We start from the raw sequence: 21,558 nt of genomic DNA, 5'->3' as shown, positions 1-21,558 counted from the left end.
TGAGGCTGCCGTGGCCATGGAGCTCTGGAAGCTGGGCTGGGGGAGGAAGCCTGGTGGCTCTGACCTCCCCTGGAGGCGAAGGAGGCCCAGCCATGACACTCTTAACGGATGCCACGCCGCTGGTGAAGGAGCCCCATCCCCTGCCTCTGGTCCCACGTCCCTGGTTCCTCCCTAGCCTCTTTGCTGCCTTCAATGTGGTGCTGCTGGTCTTTTTCAGTGGCCTCTTCTTCGCATTCCCGTGAGTTTTCCAGGCAAGCCGTTAGGTTTCCCACAAAGAGACAGCCAGGGAAACAGAAGATGATAGGATGGAGGCAGGGGAGTGCAGAAGACCGGGGGAGAGGTCAGGGAAAAGGGGATATTCTGTTCGAGGGAACCGACGTGCAAAGGTGCAGAGGTCAAGGGTGCGGGCAGGGAAAAGGGGATATTCTGTTCCAGGAACCGACGTGCAAAGGCGCAGAGGTCAAGGGTGCCTGTGCATTTTGGGAGCTTTGGGTGGCTGGTCATGCTGGTGACATTTGGTGGAGCCATTATGAGTCTGCCTGGGTATTTGGAGCCTGGATTTTTAGATCTGGCTTGAAGGTCTGTGGGTCCTGACCTGAGCAAGCCACAGGCCTTGGGCCGGGGGCTTTGGGCTGCCCCTGCTCAGGACCGAGCCTGCCTCTGGTCTCAGTTGCAGGTGGCTGGCTCAGAACGGGGAGTGGGCCTTTCCTGTTATCACAGGCTCCCTCTTTGTCCTTACCTTCTTCAGTCTTGTTTCACTCAACTTCTCAGACCCTGGCATCTTACATCAAGGTGAGGCATCAGCCCCCTGGGAAAAGGAGGTGTCACTCAAGGGCTGGGAACCTGCAGGGGGGATTCCTAAAGTGCTCTTCCTACTGACCCTCCTCCAGCCTCTGGACCCCTTCACCCCACGTCTTCATTGCTCTGGCCCTCGCTCACTCTTTCTTCTCTTCTCTTTTCTTTCTTTCTTTCTCTTTCTTTCTTTCCTTCCTTCCTCTCTCTCTCCCTCTTTCTTTCCTTCCTTCCTCTCTCTTTCCTTCCTTCCTTCTTTCTTTCTTTCTCTTTTCTTTCTTTCTTTCTTTCCTTCTTTCCTTTCTTCCTCTCTCTTTCCTTCCTTCCTTCTTTCTTTCTTTCTTTCTCTTTTCTTTCTTTCTTTTTCTTTCTTTCTTTCCTTCTTTCCTTTCTTCTTTCTTTCTCTCTTTCCTTTTCTTTTTGTTGAGACAGAGTCTCGCTTTGCTGCCCAGGCGGGAGTGCAGTGGCGCAATCTCCGCTCACTGCAAGCTCCACCTCCCAGGTTCAAGCGATTCGTCTGCCTCAGCCTCCCAAGTAGCTGGGGCTACAGGAGCATGCTACCACGCCCAGCTAATTTTTTGTATTTTTAGTAGAGATGGGGTTTCACCATATTGGCCAGGCTGGTCTCGAACTCCTGACCTCATGATCAGCCCACCTCGGCCTCCCAAAGTGCTGGGATTACAGGCGTGAGCCCCCGCGCCCGGCCCTACCCCGTTTCTTAAGCCACCAAGGTGTGGAAAAACAGAATTGTTGAGGTTTCCCAGTTGCCTTAGATGGGAGGACCGGGCAGGCCAGGGCCAGAAGCCAGTGGGCTCTTCCAAACCACTGTATGCACTTCCTCCCTTCACTACACAATGACACTCAAAGCAGCACTCACTGTTCCAAACGCCTGAGTTTCATACAAAACTCTCCTGGCTGGAAACCCGTCTTCCCTTTGACTGCCATCCTCTCTGAGCTTGGACAGCTTGCTCAGTGGGGACAGGGGTTCCCCTGCCCACCTTGTCCCCACCCTTCCTTGTGCCCTGTGATGCCGTGGAGCTGCCCCCGCCGCGGGGTGACCGCAGGGCCTTCTGCTGTGCCCAATCCTCTTCCCACGCCAGGCTCCGCTGAGCAGGGCCCCTTGACGGTGCACGTGGTGTGGGTGAACCACGGGGCCTTCCGCCTGCAATGGTGTCCAAAGTGCTGCTTCCACCGCCCGCCCCGGACTTACCACTGCCCCTGGTGCAACATCTGTGTGGAGGTGAGTGCCCCTCTACCTGTCCACCAGCCATCGCCCCACATCTGGCTGGGACCAGGAGCCTCCCTCATACAGGGGCCAGGGCTGGGTGTGAAGCTGTTTTCAGGACTGCTAAAGGCCAAGGGTGGCAGTAACTCCCAGCCACCCTTGGTCACTCATGTGTTCTCCACCTGCACCTGTCCTGGGAGGCTGGCCGTTGCCTGCAGAGGTGCTGACATGCACAGGGCATCCGCATCTGTCCTGGGCTGGGTCAGGCCAGGGGAGGAGAGGCAGCCCTCTGTCCCACCCCTGGGCTCGCTAACACGAGATACCCAAGCCCCTCAGGCTGGCTGCCCGCCTGGTCTGGGAGGCCTTGCCTGTCCTCGCCTGGGTGTCCAAGTTGGAGGGTCTCCTGGCTCTGAGTGACCATCTCTCTCGAGAGCACGGCTTGCATAGGTTTACAAGTGCAGGAGGCTGGCTGGGCAAGGGTGTTACTGTTACTGTCATCTTCATCGAATGGATGAGAAAGTGGAGGTCCAGAGATGGTTTACGTTCTGCCCAGAGTTACAGTAGGATGTGTCTCACAGAAGGCCAGGCCAGTCTTCTCTCTAAAGGTCTTCTGACAGGTGACCGTATATACCAGAGTCCTAACTGTGCTCTAACAAGGGAAATGCCAGCATGAGGCATTCTGTGGCTCAGTTTCTCCCTGGGGGTGGAAGCCAGTGCATGGGCCAAGGGCAGGTGGCCTAGAAGGCAGGGGGAGGGCCTCAGGATTTGGGGTGATGGAATTTGGGCCAGAGGAGAAGTCCTCAAGCCTGGCCCCTCTCCCTGTCGCCCAGGACTTTGACCACCACTGCAAGTGGGTCAATAACTGCATCGGTCACCGCAACTTCCGCTTCTTCATGCTGCTTGTCCTGTCCCTGTGCCTCTACTCGGGCGCCATGCTGGTCACCTGTCTCATCTTCCTGGTGCGCACAACCCACCTGCCCTTCTCCACCGACAAGGCCATCGCGTATCCGCCCACGTGGGGAAGCAGGAGAGGAGGCGGGGACAGCCAAGGAGGGGGCTGCAGAGGGCGGGGCTATGGGGGCGGGGCTAGAGGGAGAAGCCGCCTGGGAGGACCAGTCTGGGACGAGGTGAGGTGGGCGGGGTCGGGGGATGGGCGGGGCTAGGAGAAGGGGCGGAGCGTTAAGCCTCCCCCGGGCCGGCGCGGTGGCTCACGCCTGTAATTCCGGCACTTTGGGAGGCCGAGGCGGGAGGATCGCTTCAGCCCGAGACCCAGACCAGCCTGGGCAACATAGACCCCGTCTCTACAAAAAAATAGAAAAATTAGCCGGGCGTGATGGCTCGCGCCTATAGTCCCAGCTACCTGGAAGGCTGAGGTGGTAGGACCGCTTGAACCGGGGAGGGAGGTCGAGGCTGCAGTGAGCGGTGATTGTGCCTCAAAAGAAAAGAAAAGAAAAGAAAAAGGAATCTGGCGGGGTCACGGAGCGGGTGCTAAAGGTGCACCGCAGATCTGGACGGGCGGGGACAGCGGGGTGGAGTCAGGCTTTCAAGGGGGTGGGCGGGATGAGGGTGGAGCCAGGGGACGGGGCGGGTGGGCGGGCGTCCGGGGGGCGGGGCGGGGCTCGGGGCGGAGTCGGGCCTGAGGGGCGGGGCCAGGGGCGGGGCGGGGCTCGGGGCGGAGTCGGGCCTGAGGGGCGGGCGTCCGGGGGCGGGGCGGGGCTCGGGGCGGAGTCGGGCCTGGGGGCGGGGCCAGGGGCGGGGCGGGGCTCGGGGCGGAGTCGGGCCTGAGGGGCGGGCGTCCGGGGGCGGGGCGGGGCTCGGGGCGGAGTCGGGCCTGGGGGGCGGGGCCAGGCGTGGGGGTCCCGCAGCCCGGTTCCTTAACCCGCGCAGCATCGTGGTGGCCGTGTCCGCCGCGGGCCTCCTGGTGCCGCTGTCCCTCCTGCTGCTGATCCAGGCACTGTCCGTGAGCTCGGCCGACCGCACCTACAAGGGCAAGGTACGCGGGGCCGCGGGTGGTCAGCTTGCACCTCGGGGACCTCCGCGCTTCCCGCGCTTTCTCCACTGCCCTTGGCCCTGATAGCCTGACCCCCACCCGCGATGGTGCCTCGTTAGGTCCCTCCAGACCCAGCTCTTAAGAGGCTCCAATCTCGCCTCCTCCGGGAGCTCAGTGGTCCCTGTCCTTCCTGGGGGCCTACTGTGTGCTAGGCGGTTTGGATTCTTTGAGCGATGGGAATAGAGGTGAGTAAGGCTACATTCCACACTCGTGTTGATGAGGAACCTGAAATCAGAGTAACACCCACCAGATACCCACGAACACTCAGAGAGGGGGCCGGTCCTGAGCTGTGTGGCGCAGACTCAGGCATTGAGGGTTGAGGGAGGACCACATGGTAGGGTAGGACGTGCAGCTTAGGGGTTCGGGAGAGACAGAAGACGGAGAGGAGGGCATTGCGGGTGAGGGGACACCTTTGCAAAAACTCAGGGAAGCCTGAAAGTCTGTGGAATGTTGATAGGATGGAGAGGAAACAATTCTAACTGGGGCAAGAAGGTGGTGTGGGCAACCAAGTCGACTGCTTCTGTTGGCCACATTAAAAAGGTCCAGGCTGGGGAATGGCGTGAACCGGAGAGGCGGAGCTTGCAGTGAGCCCAGATCGTACCATGCACTCCAGCCTGGGCAGCAGAGCGAGACTCTGCCTCCAAAAAAAAAAAAAAAAAAAGAAAAGAAAAGAAAAGAAAAAGTTCCAAGCTGTGCCCCGTGGCTCATGCCTGTAATTCTAGCGCTTTGGGAGGCTGAGGCAGGAGGATCACTTGAGCCCCGGAGTTTGAGACCAGCCTGGGCAACAAAACGAGACTTCATCTCTACAAAAAATTAAAAAATTAGCCAGGCACGGTGGCACGTGCCTTTAGTCCCAGCTACTCCAGAGGCTGAGGTGGGAGGATTGTTTGAGCCCGGGAGATGGAGGCTGCAGTCAGTGAGCTGTGATTGCACCACTGCACTCCAGCCTGGGCAATAGAGCAAGACCCTGTCTTAAAAAAAAATGCCCAGGCTGGGTGCAGTGGCTCACACCTGTAATCCCAGCACTTTGGGAGGCCGAGGTGGCCAGATGACCTGAGACTGGGAGTTCGAGACCAGCCTGGCCAACAAGGTGAAACCCTGTTTCTACTAAAAATACAAAAATTAGCCAGGTGTGGTGGGGCACACCTGTAGTCCCAGCTACTCGGGAGACTGAGGCACAAGAATCGCTTGAACCTGGGAAGCAGAAGTTGCAGTGAGCCGAGATTGTGTCATTGCACTCCAGCCTGGGTGACAGATTGAGACTCTGTCTCAAAAACAAAACAAAACAACCCCAGAAAGTCAGGTGGAGAATTTAGGCTTGATGATGAAATCATGGTATGAGAGCCAGGGTAGAATTTCTTAAAAGCCAAGTTTATTGGACGGGTGCATGGCCCACACCTGCAATCCCAGCACTTTGGGAGGCCGAGGTGGGTGGATCACTTGAGGCCAGGTCAGGAGTTCGAGACCAGCCTGGCCAACATGGCGAAACCCTGTCTCTACAAAAAATACAAAAATTAGCCAGGCATGGTGGCATGTGCCTGTAATCCCAGCTATTTGGAGGCTGAGGCAGAGAATCTCTTGAACCTGGGAGGCAGAAGCTGCAGTGAGCTGAGATCATGCCACTGCACTCCAGCTTGGGAGACAGAGCCAGACTCTGTCTCAAAACAAACAAAAACCAAAACAAAAAGTCGTTTATTGAGCAATAATCTACCTATGTAATACTCATCCTTTTCTAGTATACAGTATGAGTTCTGACACACGGATACAGTCCTGCAGCCACCACCACAATCAATATTTAGAACAGGTCCATCCCACCCAAAAATCAGAGATCATGGTCTTTTGTAGTCAATTTCTCCCCCTACCTGTGGCTTTTGGCAACCACTGATCTGTCCTCTGTCCTTATCACTTTCCTTTTCCAGAATAACTGAAATTGTTGGCTTGTGAGTCTGGCTTCTTTCACTTAGCACAATACATTCGAGATTCATTCATGTTGTTGCTCATAGCAGTCGTTTATTCCTTTTGATTGCCGTACGGTATTGCATTGTATGGATGTTCAATAGATTATCCATTTACCAATTGAAGATGTTTGTGTTATTTCTAGTTTGGGGGATTATAATAAATAAAGCTGCTATAAACACTGGTGTACAGGCATGTGAACATAAGTTTTCATTTCTTTGGGGTAAATACTTGAAGGGGTCATATGGTAATTGAATGTGGTTTTTTGTTTGTTCGTTTGAGATGGAGTCTCACTCTGTCACCCAGGATGGAGTGCAGTGGCTCGATCTTGGCTCACTGCAACCTCCACCTCCCAGATTCAAGTGATCCTCCCACCTCAGCCTCCCAGGTAGCTAAGACAACAGGTGTGAGCCACCACGCCGGGCTAATTTTTGCATTTTTAGTAGAGATGGGGTTCACCATGTTGGCCAGGCTGGTCTGGAACTCCTGACCTCAAGTGATCTGCCTGCCTCAGCCTCCCAAAGTGCTGGGATTATAGGCGTGAGCCACTGTGTCCGGCCTGAATGTTTAATTTCATAATAAATTGCCAAATTGTCTTCCAAAATAGTGGTACTATTTTGCATTCCTACCCGTAATATATAAGAATTCCAATTGCTTTGCATCCTTACGAACGTTTGATGTTGTCAGTTGTTTTTTGTTTAAGCCGGTATAAGACATGTGTAGTGGCATCTCAGTGTGGCTTCAGTTTGTATTTTCCTAATGACTAATGGTTTAAGCATATTTTCATGTTCTTCTTTGCCATCTGTGTAACTATGGTGAAGTGTCTGTTCCAATCTTTTGTCCATTTAAAAAATTGTATTGTTTCCTTATTATTTGTTACAAAAAAATCTGCTAGGATTTTCACTGGAATTTCATTGAGCCTATAGATCAGTTTGGGGAGAATTGACATTCTAACAAGATTGAGTGAATTCATGAACATGCCACACCTCTCCATTTATTTACGTCTTCTTCGATGTCTTTCATCCTTATTTTGTGTTTTTCAGCATATAGATTTTGTATCCATTTTGTTAGATTTATATGTATTTCTTTTTTTGTGCTATTGTAAGCATGTTTTTTAAAATTTCAATTTCCATTTGTTCATTATTATAAGGAAATACAATGGATTTTTTTGAATTGGTGTTGAATCCTGCCATTTTGCTAGACCCATTTATTAGTTCCAATAGCTTTTTTGTTGATTCTACATAGGAAATCCTGTTGTCTGTGAAAAAGGACAGTTTCACTTCTTCTTTTCCAATCTGTATGGCTTTATTTTTTTCTCTTCTTATTGCACTGTCTTGGACCTCTAGCACAATGTGGAGCAGGAGTGGTGAGGGTGGACATCCGCGCCATGAGACTCCTTCAGCAGGTCACTGGCTGTTCTAGGAAAACTGATGGGCAGCATTGATGAGGGAGGAGCTGCAGGTATCAGACAGCTGGAAGGACACAGGCGCCCTCTCTGCCCACCACCTCCCATCCCAGTCACCCTTCAATCACTCCACCACACCCATATTTGGCTCCCCCACCTGTGACTCCCCAGCTCCGCCCTTCCTCATCAGCCCGCTCTGGTCTGCATGTGGACCCTCCCCAGCCTCAGTGCATCGTTTCAGCCTTTTCTGGGCAGCCTTCGCCCTTCTCACATCCTGTGGTTCTTCCTGCCCTCCCTCCCCTGCCCAGAATGCTGCCCTCCTGATCCAGGATCTCCAGCCTCCAGGGACCCTAACGTGGCCTGCGATTCACCAGGCAGGGCTCCTTCCCGCAGCCCGCAGCACCTGCCTCAGGCCTTCTTCACATGCCCCAAATCTCATTCCCTTCCTCCTCCATCCCTGGGCTGCAACTCTGCCTGTGGTTGATAGCAAGGTCTCTGGATCCAGTTCACACATGTTCACATCACAGCTCCACAGCATACCAGCAGAGAGATCCTGGGTATATTACTTAGCCACCTAGGCGTCCACTTTCCCCAACTGTAAAATGGGCAGCATGGGTGAGTTTAAGACATAGAGTAGCAGCTGGTACAAGTGAGTGCTCTAGATGTCGCTACTATTAATACCGTTCAATTTCTCTCTCTCTTTCTTTCTTCTTTCTTTCTTTTTTTTTCTTTTTTGAGACAGAGTATTTCTCTGTCACTCAGGCTGGAGTGCAGTGGTGTGATCTTGGCCTCCTGGGTTCAAGCGATTCTCCTGCCTCAGCCTCCCGAGTAGCTGGAATTACAGGTGCACGTCACCATGCCCACCTGATTTTTTGTATTTTTAGTAGAGACGGGGTTTCACCATGTTGGCCAGGCTGGTCTCGAACTCCTGACCTCAGGTGAGCCACTCGCCTCGGCCTCCCAAAGTGCTGGGATTACAGGCTGAGCCACTGCGCCTGGCACCATTCATTTTCATCACCATTTACACATGCTCCTGTCTCTCTCATCTTAAAAGCAAAGCAAAACCCTCCCTTAACATCGCCAGCCTCCACTCCCGCTGCTCTACTCTGCTCTCCAGCAGCCAAGTCTCCTGACAGGGCCGGCAGTGCTCACTTGCCCCACTCTCCCCCTTCCCCGGCAGCTTCAGCCGGCCGCTGTGCTCACTGTCACACGGATGCTGCTCTCACCAGGCGGCCAAAGCCAGTGGTCAGGCCTCATACTACTCTTTCCGGACCGCACACAGCAGCTTGAGCTTGTGAAACTGCACGCAGGGAAGCGGCCTGTCCCCGCCCCTCAGGGCTCAGCCTCTGGCCTCCTGCGCGGCTCCTCTGCGTGTGCCTGGGCGCCTCTGCCTGGGTTCCTGCTCCTTCCCTCGGTGCTGCCCTCGCCACCCTGAAGGTTGAGGCTGGCCCGGGATATGTCGTGTGCAGTGCGTCCTCAACCCCCAGCACAGTGACTGGAACTTTCCTTTTTTTATTTTTATTTTTTCTTGACGGCAAGGACAGTAGTGAGCAGCGAGGAAAGAGTAGAACAAGGAATTGGGTCTGTAACTTACTGAACAGGCGAGATAAACCACTGCTTTCAGACCAGCCCTTGGAACTTTTTTTTTTTCCTTTTTGAGACGGAGTCTCTCACGCTGTTGTCCCGGCTGGAGTGCAATGGCGTCACCTCGGCTGACCGCAGCCTCCACCTCCTGGGTTCAAGTGATTCTCCGGCCTCAGCCTCCCAAGCAGCTGGAACTACGGGCGTGCACCACCACACCCTACTAAAAATTTTCGTATTTTATTAGAGACGGGATTTCACTATGTTGGCCAGGCTGGTCTTGAACTTGTGACCTCAAATGCTCCACCCATCTTGGCCTCCCAAAGTGCTGGGATTACAGGCATGAGCCACCACGCCCGGCCCCTGGAACATTTTTAAGGCCCCAAAATATTCCTGAAACAGTGAGTGAACCAACCAACAAAGGAATCCATAGCACTTTGGGAGGGACGAAAAGACAAAAAGAGAGAGAAGCCAGATGCCCTGATCCCTGGCGGGGAATGGGGAGAGGGGGGTTGGGTGGGAGACGGAGCAAGAAGCAGCTCACCCTGGCTTTGGTCCCGTGGAGTGTCAGGCAGTTTCAGACACAGAATCGGAGCAGGAGCCCCAGGTCTGGAGACAGTGAGGTGGACAGTCTGAGTGCTTCAGAGCTGTTGGTTTCTTTTTCTTTTTTTATTTTTTGAGACAGAGTCTCACTCTGTCGTCCAGGCTGGAGTGCAGTGGTGCTATCTCGGCTCACTGCAACCTCCACCTCCTAGGTTCAAGCGATTCTCCTGCCTCAGCCTCCTGAGTAGTTGGGATTACAGGCACATGCCACCATGCCCGACTAATTTTTGCATTTTTAGTAGACCGGGTTCTTCCATGTTGGCCAGGCTGGTCTCGAACTCCTGGCCTCAAGTGATCCACCCGCCTTGGCCTTCCAAAGTGCTGGGATTACAGGTGTGAGCCACGGTGCCCGGCCAAGAGCTGTTGGTTTCATTCATATCTGAAAGCATCTTGCGTGGGAGAGGCAGGTACAAATGTATTGGTCAGTTTTGGCCCGGTGCGGTGGCTCACGGCTGTAATCCCAGCACTTTGGGAGGCCGAGGTGGGCGGATCATGAGGTCAGGAGTTCGAGACTGGCCAACACAGTGAAACCCCGTCTCTACTAAAAATACAAAAATTAGCTGGGCGTGATGGTGGGTGCCTGTAATCCCAGCTACTTGGGAGGCTGAAGCAGAAGAATCGCTTGAACCCGGGAGGCGGAGGTTGCAGTGAGCCAAGATCGTGCCACTGCACTCCAGCCTGGGCGACACAGTGAGACTCCGTCTCAAAAAAAAGAAAAATGTATGGGTCAGTCTTATGAATTTATTAAAGATCATCATTCCTTTAAGCATTTTTCTATGCCTCATATACAATCAACATTTTTCTATACCTTATATACATCTAATAAATAAAAATTTATTTCCCTAATGCCGGGTACAGTGACTCACACCTGTAATCCCAGCCCTTTGAAAGGCTGAGGTGGGAAGATCGCTTGAGGCCAGGAGTTCAAGACCAGCCTGGGCAACATAGCCAGACCCCATTCCTGCAAAAAAAATTAAAAATTGGCTGGGCATAGTGGTGCATGCCTGTAGTCTCAGCTACTTGGGAGACAGAGGTGGGAGGATCCCTTGAGCCCAGGAGTTTGAATTTGTGAGGACCTATGATCACTGCACTCCAGCCTGGGCAACAAGAGCAAAACTGCGTCTAAAAAAAAAAAAAAAAAAGGCCAGGCGTGGTGGCTCACGCTTGTAATCCCAGCACTTTGGGAGGCCAAGGTGGGCGGATCACGAGGTCAGGAGATCGAGACCATCCTGGCTAACACGGTGAAACCCCGTCTCTACTAAAAATACAAAAAATTAGCTGGGCGTGGTGGCGAGCACCTGTAATCCCAGCTACTTGGGAGGCTGAGGCAGGAGAATGGCGTGAACCTGGGAGGCGGAGCTTGCAGTGAGCTGAGATCGCGCCACTGCACTCCAGCCTGGGTGACAGAGCAAGACTCCATCTCAAAAAAAAAAAAATTATATATATATATACATATATATATATATATCCCTAAATTTTAAAATTCTGTCAATATATTTTTATTAGATTTTAGTTTTTCTAGAGACAGGGTCCCACTCTGTCATTCAGGCTGGAGTGCAGTGGCGTAATCATAGCTCACTGCAGCCTCGAACTCCTAGGCTCAAGGGATCCTCTCATCCCAGCCTCCCAAGAAGCTGAGACTACAGGTGCACAATGCCACAGCCACCTATTTTTATTTTTTTAGAGATGAAAGTCTCAGGCTGGTCTTGAACTTCTGGGGTCAAGAGATCCTCCCTTCTCCACCTCCCAAAACACTCGGATTACAGGTGCCAATCACCATGCCTGGCCCAAATTCCATAAATTTAATCAAAATCTTCTAAATGACTAATACAATACCAGTTTCTTTTTTCTGAGCCAGAGTGTCGCTCTGTCGCCCAGGCTGGAGTGCAGTGGCATGATCTCGGCTCACTGCAACCTCCGCCTCCCGGGTTCAAGCGATTCTTCTGTCTCAGCCTCCCGAGTAGCTGGGATCACAGGCACCCGCCACCACGCCTGGCTAATTTTTTGTATTTTTAGTAGAGATGGGGTTTCACCATGTTGGCCAGGCTGGTCTCAAACTCCTGACCTCAAGTGATCCACCTGCCTCGGCCTCCCAAAGTGCAGGGATTACAGGCGTGAGCCATCTCACCCGGCCAATACGTTTCTTTTACATGCTTTAAATACCTTAAAGTAGGCAGAATCTCAAATAGTGCAAGGATGCGTATTGCCCTATGGCAACAGTGAGTGGCGACAGTGAGCTGTTATGGAGCTGTCCAGACTTTTCCTCCCTCCAGTGAGTGCCAGCTGTCCTTGCATGGAGTCCTGGTTCCTTTGGTGGAGAATGGTGTTGAAAATCTCAGCCTTTGCGGCGGAGAGCGGGGACATGGGACACAGGGGAGTTGGTGGTGGGCAGAGATGCTGCTGGGCCACTTTCAGTGACAAAACATGACAGCAAAGGCTCTTGAAGTCAGGTGAGGCCCAGCCTGCCCTGTGGCGGAGAGGGAGTTTGGGAGGGGGTGAGGTGGATGGGTAGAGTGAGTGGGCGAAGGGGAGAGAGGAGGGAGAGAACCTGATCAAGGTCAAGAGTGCCCAGGGGACGACTTGGCCTTTACCGCATTGCGTGTTCAAGGCTTTTAGCCCAGATTTTCCTGGGCCATGTGATCATGGTTAGGGAAATACGACTGGGCCTTGCTCAACTGACCTTCCAGACAGTGACATTCAGTATCTGGAAGGAGGTAGCAGGAGGATGTGTGTGGCCAGTGGAGACCAAGAGGAGGAGGATGGGGCAGTGGTGGGGAGGTCCTTCAGTCTCCTGGCCTCCAGCTTGCTGGTGCCCTGGGCTGAGCCCTGGCTAGCTGACCAGCTCAGGGAGGGCCACTGGGCGATGGCCCAGCCATTCCTGCTGGTTCTGAGCTCCTCTTCCGGTTTCCATCCCCGACCAGTGCAGACACCTTCAGGGATACAACCCCTTCGACCAGGGCTGTGCCAGCAACTGGTATTTAACAATTTGTGCACCACTGGGACCCAAGTGAGTTGGCAAGCCAGAGGCCCAACTGGTGAACCCTGGGGGTGGGGCAGAGGTGGGTTCACCCTGGCTCCTTACCACAGCCCCAGGCCCTTACACTCACTGTTCCTGCTCCTCTGGGGTTTTCTCCAGGGCACTGGGAGCTCTGGGGCCTCCCTACGTCCTTGGCTCTGTGTGTTCCTGCCCCACTATGGCATACAGGGCTGCTGCATCCTGGATGAGGCTGGCCTCAGCTTCCTGCAGAGCTAAGCCCTGGGCCGTGTGCTTCCCAAGCTGAGGCGGGCAGGGGAGCCGGACCAGGGAGGACGGTGGCCCCTGCATCTGGCCTGCTGCTCCCCAGGTACATGGCTGAAGCTGTCCAGCTGCAGAGAGTGGTGGGGCCTGACTGGACATCCATGCCGAATCTGCACCCTCCAATGTCCCCCTCTGCTCTCAACCCCCCAGCCCCAACCTCTGGGTCCCTACAAAGCAGGGAAGGGACCCCCGGGGCGTGGTGAGGCTGCAGCTCTCCAGGAGGTAAGAAGCGTGTGTGTGCGTGGGTGTCTGTGCGTGTCGGGAGGGGGGTGTCTGCAGGTTGTGAGGGTGTGGGGGGAGGCCCCTGAGGTTTGGCTGACCCTGAAGCTGGAGCGCTCCGAGCTTGGGGGGAGGAGGGTTCTACACTGGAGGGGCGTTGGAAGCAGGGCCCAGGCCTCTAGAATACACCCAGGAGTCCCTGGAGTCACAAAGACAAATGGAGGATGACTCCCCCACTACATGTGCTGATGGGCCTCAGGCCAGTCACCTACTCGCAGGACTGAGATGAGTCTCGTGGTTTATAATTTGGCCAGGGGGTGCGGGTGGCGGGAGACTCTTTTATTTAAAGGAAACATTGACTCGAAGCCCCGTGAGACATGGAGGTGGAGCATCAGGAGGCCACCGTGGGGCTGGGCAACCCCTGCGCCCCGGGGCCTCTGCAGCACATTCTGTGGGGCCAGCCCGCTCCCTTTGCCTCCAGGAGCAGGAGACCTGGCACGAGCTGCGGGGCGGGGTCTTGTTGAGAGCACTCATGCCCCTGTTCTGTGTTTAGTTCCACACGGGCCCAGTGCTGCCCCTGCTGCTGCAGGAGCCCCCAGGCGAGGTTCGGCCTTCCTCTCGCCCCTGTGCACCCGGAGATGCCCACAGCACCAGCACCTGAGCTCACCTCCGAACCCGCCTCCTGAACCCGCCTCCTGAACCTGCCTCCTTACCTCCCACTTCCTGAGCCCTGAGTGGAAGCCTTTCTGTGCCTTGCCCTTTGCCCACTCCCCTGGTGGGACTGCCAAGACCCTCAATGCCCATTAAATACTCTTGCCTGCCTCTTACAACTGTCACGCTGCGCATGTCCGTCCTGGGTGAGGGCTTGGAGGAGGCTCTAATGGGCCGGGACAAAGACCTTCCGGGATGGAGGACCCAGGATCTGTGGAGGCCTGAGTTCAGGACCTGACACCACCTGGCTCTGTGACCTTGGACAAGACACCTAACATTTCTCTCCTCCTTAAAATTGGGCAACAATAGGCTGGGCGTGGTGGCTCACGCCTGTAATCCCAGCACTTTGGGAGGCCGGAGGCCACCTGAGGTCAGGAGTTCGAGACCAGCCTGGCCAACATAGTGAAACCCTGTCTCTAGTAAAAAATACAGAAACTAGCTGGGCTTGGTGGTACATGCCTGTAGTCCCAGCTACTAGGGAGGCTGAGGCAGGAGAATTGCTTGAACCCGGCAGTTGGAGGATGCAGTGAGCCAAGACCACACCATTGCACTCCAGCCTGGGTGACAGAGTGAGACTCTGTCTCAAAAAAAAAAAAAGGGCAACAACAACAACAGACAATAATAATAATAATAATAATTGCAGCAGTTGACTGGCCTAGCTCCCAGCTAGGGCTGGAGATGATGGAAGAGGAAAATCCACCAATGTCGGGGTGTCCGAGGTTGGGGAGCACCTGGCCTCTGCCCGGCCACACCTTTGTCTGGCTGCAGGGGGCGCTCGCAGCCCAGGGATTCACCAGGCCTGGCCTGGTCCAGCCCTGCCTCTCTGGAGCCTCTGGGGTGGGGTTAGGGCTGGCCTTACCATTTCTGGGGCCCTGAGGCTGGGAGTGGCCCCCTCCTGCCTGCCGCGTCCTGGGGAAGTGGAGGGGTGGGGGCGTTCTCCACCACGGCCCAGCCTTGCATCTTTCCTGCAGCTGTGTCTCACCCTGGTCCCTCTTTCCTGGTGGGAGGTCAGGAGCTGGTTCTGGTCTTGCCCCTGGGGTGGTCCCAGGCCCCACAAGTCTTCAGGCCCCTGGGGTTGGGGGGGTCGGGGGGACACATCTAACTGTGGCTCTGCTAGCGGCCAGAATGTGACCGTGGGACTGGGAATAATGCATCTTTCTGGAAGGCTGGCAGAGGCCGGAATGAGGTGTTTCATGCAAAACATCGGGACACAGGTACACGGTAGGCACACAGTGAGCGCGGTCAGTGTCATCATGATGATTTTCTCCACCACGCAGCTGACACACCACCCAGAGCTTCTCCAAGGACCACCTTCGAGACTGACCTGGGCCCCTTTCTTCAGGGAAGTCCCTTCTGCCAGGCTCTTCTGGCTCAGCCTTTCCGTGTCAGGGGAGGGTGGGAATTTTTATCAGGTGTTCCAGTGATTCTGCCACCTGGAGCGTCAAAATGGGCCCAAGTCACACTGTTTGCTTCCTGCCACCTTCGTATCCGGGTGAAACCAGGGTGTGGAGGAGGGTGGGGGCAGAAGGATGTCACCCAAGGGTTCAGATGAGCCACCCCCAGGTGCCGCGGAGGTGTGTGTGTCTGTGTGCTGGGGTGTGAGCGCATTCTCAGGGGGACGCTGGCCCAGCCCCTGTCCTCTCTACCGCTGGTGATGCAGGACGTCCCTCCAGATCTCCAGCCCAATGGGTCCTGCCACAACCGACCCTGCAGGCTTCAGACCCTTCCCTGTGCAGGCCCAGCCTCACCCACCTGCCTGGCATGGGCCACGGGGGAGGGGGTCCAGGAGCCTGGGCCAAGGCCGGGATGTGAATTATGGAACTGGCTGGTTGAAGAAGTGGTGCCTGCCTGGAGTCCCAGCCCACAGGGGCAAAGAAGCCCAGGCCCAGTATCTGGGGAGGCCCTGACCTTCCTCTGCCACCCTGTCCCTTAGTTCAGGACGGCACCTACTGGTCCTCGCCTCCAGGTATGCAGGGGACACACTCAGCCTCAGGCAGGGGCCTTTCAAGCCTTAAGCCAGCTGTGAGTCATTTCCCCTCACACGCTGGGCCTCAATTTCCCCACTGGGCAGACATAATTTTCCTCATAGTGTCAAAGGAGACCATGAACCCTCTGAGGGCAATGGCCTCCTGCTCTAAATGTGGATTCTAGGTCTCTCTGTCCCTCCCAGCCTGGGATTTCTTTTTTTTTTTTTGGAGACGGAGTCTTGCTCTGTCGCCCAGGCTGGAGTGCAGTGGTGCGATCTCGGCTCACCGCAGCCTCCTCCTCCTGGATTCAACTGATTCTCGTGCCTCAGCTTCCTGAGTAGCTGGAATTACAGGTGTGCACCACCATATCCAGCTAATTTTTGTAGTTGTAGTAGAGACAGAGTTTCACCATGTTAGCCAAGCTGGTCTCAAACTCCTGGGTTCAAGTGATAAGCCCACCTCAGCCTCCCAAAGGGCTGGGAATACAGGCATAAGCCACGGCGCCCGGCCCCAGCCTAGGATTTCTAAGGTTTCTTCAGGAAAGTCACTTGGATCAGGCCCCTTGGCTCCTGGAGGGTTAAGTGAGACTTAGACTGTCCCTTCCTTTGACTCCCCACCACTCCACACTCTCCCCCCTAAGCCAGGGGACCCCTCCGGGATTCTTTGCAGCCGGGCTGAGAGGCCTCGGTTCAGCTGCACCCACTTTTCCTTTCTGCCCCTTCCTTGTTTCTGTGGAATGTACCCTTGATTCTCAGATGCACCCCACCCAGTCCTTGACCCACTGATAAGGGGAGGGGTGTTATCAGAGCCCAGTTACAGGGCCTACTGTCTATACGCCCAGGAAGCCCTGCCATCTCTGCCTTCTGTGGGCTGGAGCCAAGGAGTGACCCCAGGCCTGCAAAGCCGCCAGGTGCCTGACTGTCTAGGGCTCCTCTGAGAGGTCCCCAGCTGGCCCCTAGGACCTGAAGAAAGGGGTTAGACCCTGGGATGGGGTGCCCAGGGCAGCGACCTCCCATCTCCACGCCTTTCCTCCATGGGCCTTCTGGAAGGCTCACAAGCTTCATGGGCATGTGGGGTGGGGCTCAGCCCCATCATTCCTCTCTGTGCCCAACTAGTGTGCTGTGGAGAAGTCACTGTCCTGTGCGTAGCCTCAGCTTCCTCGTCTGTAGGACTGACAGTCATAGCCACCTCCCAGGGATCACAGGATCCTAACTCTCTAGGAGAGGAAGGGACCCGGGCTGCCTCATCCAGCTGCCCCCGACCCCCAATTTCATAAGCAGGGACTCTGGGGCCCGGAGAGGGAAGTGGTTGCATCAGATCACACGGTGCAGCCAGTCTGGTGACTCTCGGGTTCCCAGGCCGCTGCCCCATCCCTGGTCCTGGGCCATTCCAGAGGAGACAGGCTTGGCTGGCAACCCCAGGGCTCTGCTCTCCAGCCCCTGTGCCTCAGAGCTGGGCTGGGCTGGGCACAGGCCCAGGGAACTGATAAGAAGGTTTAACTCTCTTCAGCCCTGTGCTGCCGGTGATAATGACCCCCTCCGCTGCCTCCCACTCAGCCCTGCCCTGCTCTGCCCTGCTCTGCCCTGCTCTGCCCTGACCCTTGGGTGGGGGCCCTGCAGGTGGCTGAGGGTGGAGCAGGGCAGGGACAGATGGGGGAAGGGGAGGTCACCGCACTGCAGGATCCAGGGCCCAGAATCCTAGTACCTCAAAGGACACAGGCACCTTGCTGGCTCTCATGGGCAGCTGGGCACAGTGCCTGACACCCATGCTCCATCTGGGTCTGACTCCCTTCTCTTTAGTTCTTAGCATGCAGAGGAATGGCTGGAGGGAAGCAGCCCAGCGGCTGAGGGCTCGCCAGAACTCCTGTACTAACAAACCCTCGATGGAGCCCTGCCTGGGCCAGGGCCTGTGCTCAGTGTCCAGGCTGCCTCCTTCAATCCTCACGACTGCTCTATGGAACTGTTATTCTAGTTTCTGAGGTGAGGAAACCAGCATGGAGCAAACAAGCAACTCCCCAAGAGGCAGAAGTGCAGCCCCTGTGACTCGTAGCCACCACGAGGTGTGTCTGTGGGCAGTTTCCACATTTTATTTCAACGTGGGGTCACAGTTAAGACGCGGGCTCTGAAGGTGGGCTGCCTGGTTTCTCCCCCTGTAATGTAAGATTAATAATTGTATCTCTAGAAGAAAACACACACACACACACACACACAAGTCGTATCTCATCGTGTGGTTATGACATGGCTTACCTAGTGCATGGAAAGAGCTTGGCACAAACCCCCACACATGACAGGTGCTTCGCAGAGGAAGCAGTGACCATCATAGCCCGATAAAGGAGGCAGGAGGCAGACCAGGCCTTGGGATGCCAGTTACCATGACAACAGCCTCTGACTCCTGTCCGGCTGGGTGCGGGTTTCCCTGTGGCCCTGACAACAGAGGTAAAGGGTGCTGCTTCGGACACGAGGTCTTTGTTACTGTTTTACACAAAACTCCCCAACACTGGTGTCTCCAGGCCAGAAGGGATGGGGGCATGGGCTGAGATTCTTCAAGGGAATGAGAAGAGGGTCACCCAACAACGGCTCTGCCTCCTGTTAAGAAAGCAACTGCTGCTTCTGCTTTGTGGCCAGGCAGTGTTTCAGGCTGAAGGAAGGCAAAAGCAATGGTGTTCCGAGCTCTGTTCCAGGGTGGCTGCTCACAGCCTCCGCCCTCCCTGCTCCTCACCTGACCTCCCCCGCAGGCAGCGTCCCAGGCTCTGCCTCTCCACGTAGGCCTCTGCCTCACCTCTTCTCACCTTTCCACGCTTGCCTCCTCCCTTCCCCTTGCTCCTCCTCCTGTCTTTCTCTTTCTCTTCACACTCTTCTGCTCTCCCTCGATTGCTCTCTCCCTCCTTCTCTCCCTCCCACTTTTCCTGAACCACAGCTTCCAGGAACACAGAGGCAGCTGTCTGACAGCTTCTCACGTCCTGGCTGCGGTTCCAGGAAGGCCCTGGTCTGGGCATGGAAACCCAGGGCACTGTCCACCAGGCTGGAGGCGGGGCCCGCACAGGGCACCTTCGTCTGCCTCTCCCTGGGGCTTCCGCCTCCCACCTGGGCACCCACTTTCCCAGCAGCTTTCTGCTTGGGGAAGTTCTGCTGCTGAAACTGGGGATTCCCAAAGTGGAAGGGGCCCTGCTGAACAGCCAGCCACCTCCCTCACTTCTCAGCAAGAAGAAAACCAAGGCGGTGGGGGACGCAAGGCGGGGCTTCCCCAAGATCACACAGCTGAGCAGAGGCCAGGCCAGGGGGTCCCTGATCTGCCACCTGAGTCCTGGGCCCTTCCTGCCACCCCACGGAGAGGAGACGCCTGGGTCAGAGGCCCGGCCTGTCAACAGGAAGGGCACGTTCTTCCTCCTAAAGGCCTAGTGATCTGACTCCAGTGTAGCAATGACAGCAATGACAACACAGTTGAATGCTAATGGAGGTCCAGGCCTGGGGAAGCACTCGGCCTGCGTTTGCTCACTTAGTCCTCAGCCTCCTGAATGAGGCGCTGCTGTTACTCTTGTGGGTGTCTCGGGCCTGCAAAGACCAGGTGTGCTGGGCTGGGGGCTTCAGGACTACTGTTTTTTATTTTTATTTTTTTATTTTTTTGAGACGGAGTCTCGCTCTGTCGCCCAGGCTGGAGTGCGGTGGTGCGATCTCGGCTCACTGCAGCCTCTGCCTCCCGGGTTCACGCCATTCTCCTGCCTCGGCCTCCCGAGTAGCTGGGACTACAGGCGCCCGCCACCACGCCCGGACAATCTTTTGTATTTTTAGTAGAGACGGGGTTTCACCGTGTTGGCCAGGATGGTCTCGATCTCCTGACCTCGTGATCCACCCGCCTCGGCCTCCCAAAGTGCTGGGATTACAGGCGTGAGCCGCCGCGCCCGGCCCATTCAGAGCTACTCTTGCACTGATCTCCTGCGATTCCTTGACTGAGTGACCAGGGAGGAAGGTCCATGGTCTGAGGACAAGTCCTGAGGTGAACAGGGCTCCAGGCAGGATTTATTCCATGGCCCATTAGTATCCTTTGGCTGAACCTGAGTCATGCTGAACCTCATCTGTCCCCGAGTAGTGGTGGAGGCATGAGGTCAGCAAGTGAAAGCACTGACCCCTGGGCAGGGCCCTGGGCTGTCTGGGCTGGGAGACTCCCCCAGTCAGATTTAGCTCCTAGATGCCTGTTCCTCAGCCCCTAATGGGAGTGGAAAGATCCCTCCTGCCTGCCTTTTCCTGGCAGGGCAGTAAGCGGCTGTGTAGGGAGCACAGGCCGGGCATCCGGAGAGCTGGGTGGACAGGTGGCTCTGCTGCCAGCTGGATGTGTGGCCCTGGATGAAGCCCCGACCTCTCAGAGCTGCTCCGATCTCAACGTGAAGTTGAAACCAAACTCCATGCCCGGCCGACCTCACAGTGCGCTTGTAGGATCAGAAGGGTACATGATGGGCCGGGCATGGTGGCTCATGCCTGTAATCCCAGCGCTTTGGGAGGCCGAGGTGGGCGGATCACCTGAGGTCAGGAGTTCAAGACCAGCCCGGCCAACATAGCGAAACCCTGTCTCTACAAAAAATACAAAAATTAGCCGGGTGTGGTGGCGCACACCTGTAGTCCCAGAGGCTGAGGCAGGAGAATTCCTTGAGATACGGAAGTGGAGGTTGCCGTGAGCCAAGATCGCGTCATTACACTCCAGCCTGGGCGACAGAAGAAGAAAGAAGAAGAAGAAGAGGAGGAGGAGGAAAAAGAAGAAGAAGAAAAGACGAAAAAGAAGAAGAAAAAGAAGAAAAAGAAGGGAGAACCTTCATGGACTTGTATTCCTTTTCTTAGGCCAGGTCCAGGTGGGTGTGCGGTGGTTGTAAAGGAAACAGTGAGAGGGTCTGACTCAGGCGTGGGGACCTGGAGGGAGAAATTCCCTTTCTCTTCTGTCTCCATTTTCTCTCCTTGGGCCCTGAGCCTTTTGCAGGCTCTGAATTTAGATTATCTGGGGGGTGGGGGTGGTGGCTCATGCCTGTAGTCCCAGCACTTTGGGAGGCCGAGGCAAGTGGGTCATGTGAGTCCAGGAGTTCGAGACTAGCCTGGGCAATATATTGAGACCCTGTCCCTATATAATAAAATAAAAAATTAAATTAAACAGGGCATTGGGAAATGGTCAAGTCCGAGGATGGGCCACCTCATTCTGACTCCCAGGCAGACGGCCCGGCTCACCTTTCTTGGGTGACCTTCTCAGCTCCCTCTCTTCCCCACCAAGTATCTATCCCTAGGGGAAGGAGCTGGCCAGACTTGGATTTGGGGCAGAGATGGGGCCCCCTCTGCTCCCAGCTGGCGGCATAGTCTGTTAGCCACCCACAGCCCCCGGCCTCAGAGTGCCCTGGAGTAGAAGCCTCTGGAAGGCCTCAAGGCCTGGTGGTGCCCAGCTCACTCTGAGCCTTTGGTGGGGGCCTGGGCTGCTGGCCCAGCTTGGCCAGGAAGCTCCGGCTGCCTTGCGCCCAATCCAGGCCAGAGAGTAAAGGGGGTTTGTTCCTGAAGCGGAGACCAGAAGTAGGCACACACAGCGCTCTTTGCTTTGGAGTAGAAGACTTTAAAGATTTGTTTTCTTTAAACATCCTGCTGCAGGAAAGAGAAGCTGAAAACCAAACATTCCTAAAACATGGATTTCAGGAGCAATTTGTTTGGTTTCCGTCCCACCCTGTTTCTGCTCAGGGGGGTGTCAGGCACTTGTCCCTGAGGTTGGGTGGAGGGTCCACGCCCT

General features: G+C 55.5%; 1 protein-coding gene across 15 annotated transcripts, besides 16 other annotated features; it reads left to right on the top strand.

The window, feature by feature from the left end:
* Nucleotides 1-7: 7 nt before the first annotated feature.
* Nucleotides 8-13,956, top strand: ZDHHC19 (zDHHC palmitoyltransferase 19). Of its 15 annotated transcripts, none has more exons than XR_001740011.2 (9): nucleotides 8-238; nucleotides 671-792; nucleotides 1,893-2,032; nucleotides 2,848-3,020; nucleotides 3,905-4,010; nucleotides 12,539-12,619; nucleotides 12,749-12,956; nucleotides 13,061-13,132; nucleotides 13,683-13,956. XR_001740011.2 is itself a non-coding variant. In XM_006713494.3 (8 exons), exons 1-7 carry the CDS (start codon nucleotides 93-95, stop codon nucleotides 13,111-13,113), a joined length of 852 nt encoding a protein of 283 aa, XP_006713557.1. In that variant the 5' UTR covers nucleotides 8-92; the 3' UTR covers nucleotides 13,114-13,132; nucleotides 13,683-13,956. The 15 variants fall into 15 exon arrangements, 4 of the variants coding, with proteins under 4 accessions (XP_006713557.1, XP_006713556.1, NP_001034706.1 ...); XR_001740012.2 differs by having other exon boundaries at nucleotides 12,534-12,619; nucleotides 12,818-12,956; XR_924098.2 differs by having other exon boundaries at nucleotides 12,534-12,619.
* Nucleotides 3,436-3,585: a silencer, noted in NCBI's record as "silent region_15058". NCBI's record gives its function as "represses an Ori minimal core promoter by ATAC-STARR-seq in GM12878 lymphoblastoid cells {active_cell/tissue: GM12878}" and the evidence as "EXISTENCE:reporter gene assay evidence [ECO:0000049][PMID:35858748]".
* Nucleotides 3,843-3,962: a silencer, noted in NCBI's record as "silent region_15057". NCBI's record gives its function as "represses an Ori minimal core promoter by ATAC-STARR-seq in GM12878 lymphoblastoid cells {active_cell/tissue: GM12878}" and the evidence as "EXISTENCE:reporter gene assay evidence [ECO:0000049][PMID:35858748]".
* Nucleotides 7,155-7,654: an enhancer, noted in NCBI's record as "H3K4me1 hESC enhancer chr3:195930625-195931124 (GRCh37/hg19 assembly coordinates)". NCBI's record gives its function as "activates a minimal SCP1, AML or CMV promoter by ChIP-STARR-seq in naive H9 embryonic stem cells {active_cell/tissue: H9 hESC(naive)}" and the evidence as "EXISTENCE:reporter gene assay evidence [ECO:0000049][PMID:30033119]".
* Nucleotides 7,655-8,156: an enhancer, noted in NCBI's record as "H3K4me1 hESC enhancer chr3:195930123-195930624 (GRCh37/hg19 assembly coordinates)". NCBI's record gives its function as "activates a minimal SCP1, AML or CMV promoter by ChIP-STARR-seq in naive H9 embryonic stem cells {active_cell/tissue: H9 hESC(naive)}" and the evidence as "EXISTENCE:reporter gene assay evidence [ECO:0000049][PMID:30033119]".
* Nucleotides 8,199-8,734: an enhancer, noted in NCBI's record as "H3K27ac-H3K4me1 hESC enhancer chr3:195929545-195930080 (GRCh37/hg19 assembly coordinates)". NCBI's record gives its function as "activates a minimal SCP1, AML or CMV promoter by ChIP-STARR-seq in naive H9 embryonic stem cells {active_cell/tissue: H9 hESC(naive)}" and the evidence as "EXISTENCE:reporter gene assay evidence [ECO:0000049][PMID:30033119]".
* Nucleotides 8,479-8,578: an enhancer, noted in NCBI's record as "active region_21078". NCBI's record gives its function as "activates an Ori minimal core promoter by ATAC-STARR-seq in GM12878 lymphoblastoid cells {active_cell/tissue: GM12878}" and the evidence as "EXISTENCE:reporter gene assay evidence [ECO:0000049][PMID:35858748]".
* Nucleotides 12,375-13,320: an enhancer, noted in NCBI's record as "H3K4me1 hESC enhancer chr3:195924959-195925904 (GRCh37/hg19 assembly coordinates)". NCBI's record gives its function as "activates a minimal SCP1, AML or CMV promoter by ChIP-STARR-seq in naive H9 embryonic stem cells {active_cell/tissue: H9 hESC(naive)}" and the evidence as "EXISTENCE:reporter gene assay evidence [ECO:0000049][PMID:30033119]".
* Nucleotides 14,707-14,806: an enhancer, noted in NCBI's record as "active region_21077". NCBI's record gives its function as "activates an Ori minimal core promoter by ATAC-STARR-seq in GM12878 lymphoblastoid cells {active_cell/tissue: GM12878}" and the evidence as "EXISTENCE:reporter gene assay evidence [ECO:0000049][PMID:35858748]".
* Nucleotides 14,837-14,906: an enhancer, noted in NCBI's record as "active region_21076". NCBI's record gives its function as "activates an Ori minimal core promoter by ATAC-STARR-seq in GM12878 lymphoblastoid cells {active_cell/tissue: GM12878}" and the evidence as "EXISTENCE:reporter gene assay evidence [ECO:0000049][PMID:35858748]".
* Nucleotides 16,962-17,621: a transcriptional cis regulatory region, noted in NCBI's record as "candidate enhancer chr3.5817 targeted for multiplex CRISPR interference". NCBI's record gives its function as "positively regulates TFRC gene expression with high confidence in K562 cells {active_cell/tissue: K562}" and the evidence as "EXISTENCE:mutant phenotype evidence [ECO:0000015][PMID:30612741]".
* Nucleotides 17,030-17,159: an enhancer, noted in NCBI's record as "active region_21075". NCBI's record gives its function as "activates an Ori minimal core promoter by ATAC-STARR-seq in GM12878 lymphoblastoid cells {active_cell/tissue: GM12878}" and the evidence as "EXISTENCE:reporter gene assay evidence [ECO:0000049][PMID:35858748]".
* Nucleotides 17,220-17,349: an enhancer, noted in NCBI's record as "active region_21074". NCBI's record gives its function as "activates an Ori minimal core promoter by ATAC-STARR-seq in GM12878 lymphoblastoid cells {active_cell/tissue: GM12878}" and the evidence as "EXISTENCE:reporter gene assay evidence [ECO:0000049][PMID:35858748]".
* Nucleotides 18,281-18,944: an enhancer, noted in NCBI's record as "H3K27ac-H3K4me1 hESC enhancer chr3:195919335-195919998 (GRCh37/hg19 assembly coordinates)". NCBI's record gives its function as "activates a minimal SCP1, AML or CMV promoter by ChIP-STARR-seq in primed H9 embryonic stem cells {active_cell/tissue: H9 hESC(primed)}" and the evidence as "EXISTENCE:reporter gene assay evidence [ECO:0000049][PMID:30033119]".
* Nucleotides 18,281-18,969: a biological region, named in NCBI's record as "H3K27ac-H3K4me1 hESC enhancer GRCh37_chr3:195919335-195919998".
* Nucleotides 18,900-18,969: an enhancer, noted in NCBI's record as "active region_21073". NCBI's record gives its function as "activates an Ori minimal core promoter by ATAC-STARR-seq in GM12878 lymphoblastoid cells {active_cell/tissue: GM12878}" and the evidence as "EXISTENCE:reporter gene assay evidence [ECO:0000049][PMID:35858748]".
* Nucleotides 19,930-20,548: an enhancer, noted in NCBI's record as "H3K27ac hESC enhancer chr3:195917731-195918349 (GRCh37/hg19 assembly coordinates)". NCBI's record gives its function as "activates a minimal SCP1, AML or CMV promoter by ChIP-STARR-seq in primed H9 embryonic stem cells {active_cell/tissue: H9 hESC(primed)}" and the evidence as "EXISTENCE:reporter gene assay evidence [ECO:0000049][PMID:30033119]".

This window comes from Homo sapiens, chromosome 3 (assembly GCF_000001405.40).
Source record: "Homo sapiens chromosome 3, GRCh38.p14 Primary Assembly".
Classification (NCBI taxonomy): domain Eukaryota; kingdom Metazoa; phylum Chordata; class Mammalia; order Primates; family Hominidae; genus Homo; species Homo sapiens.
This window is presented reverse-complemented; position numbering and strand designations above follow the sequence as displayed.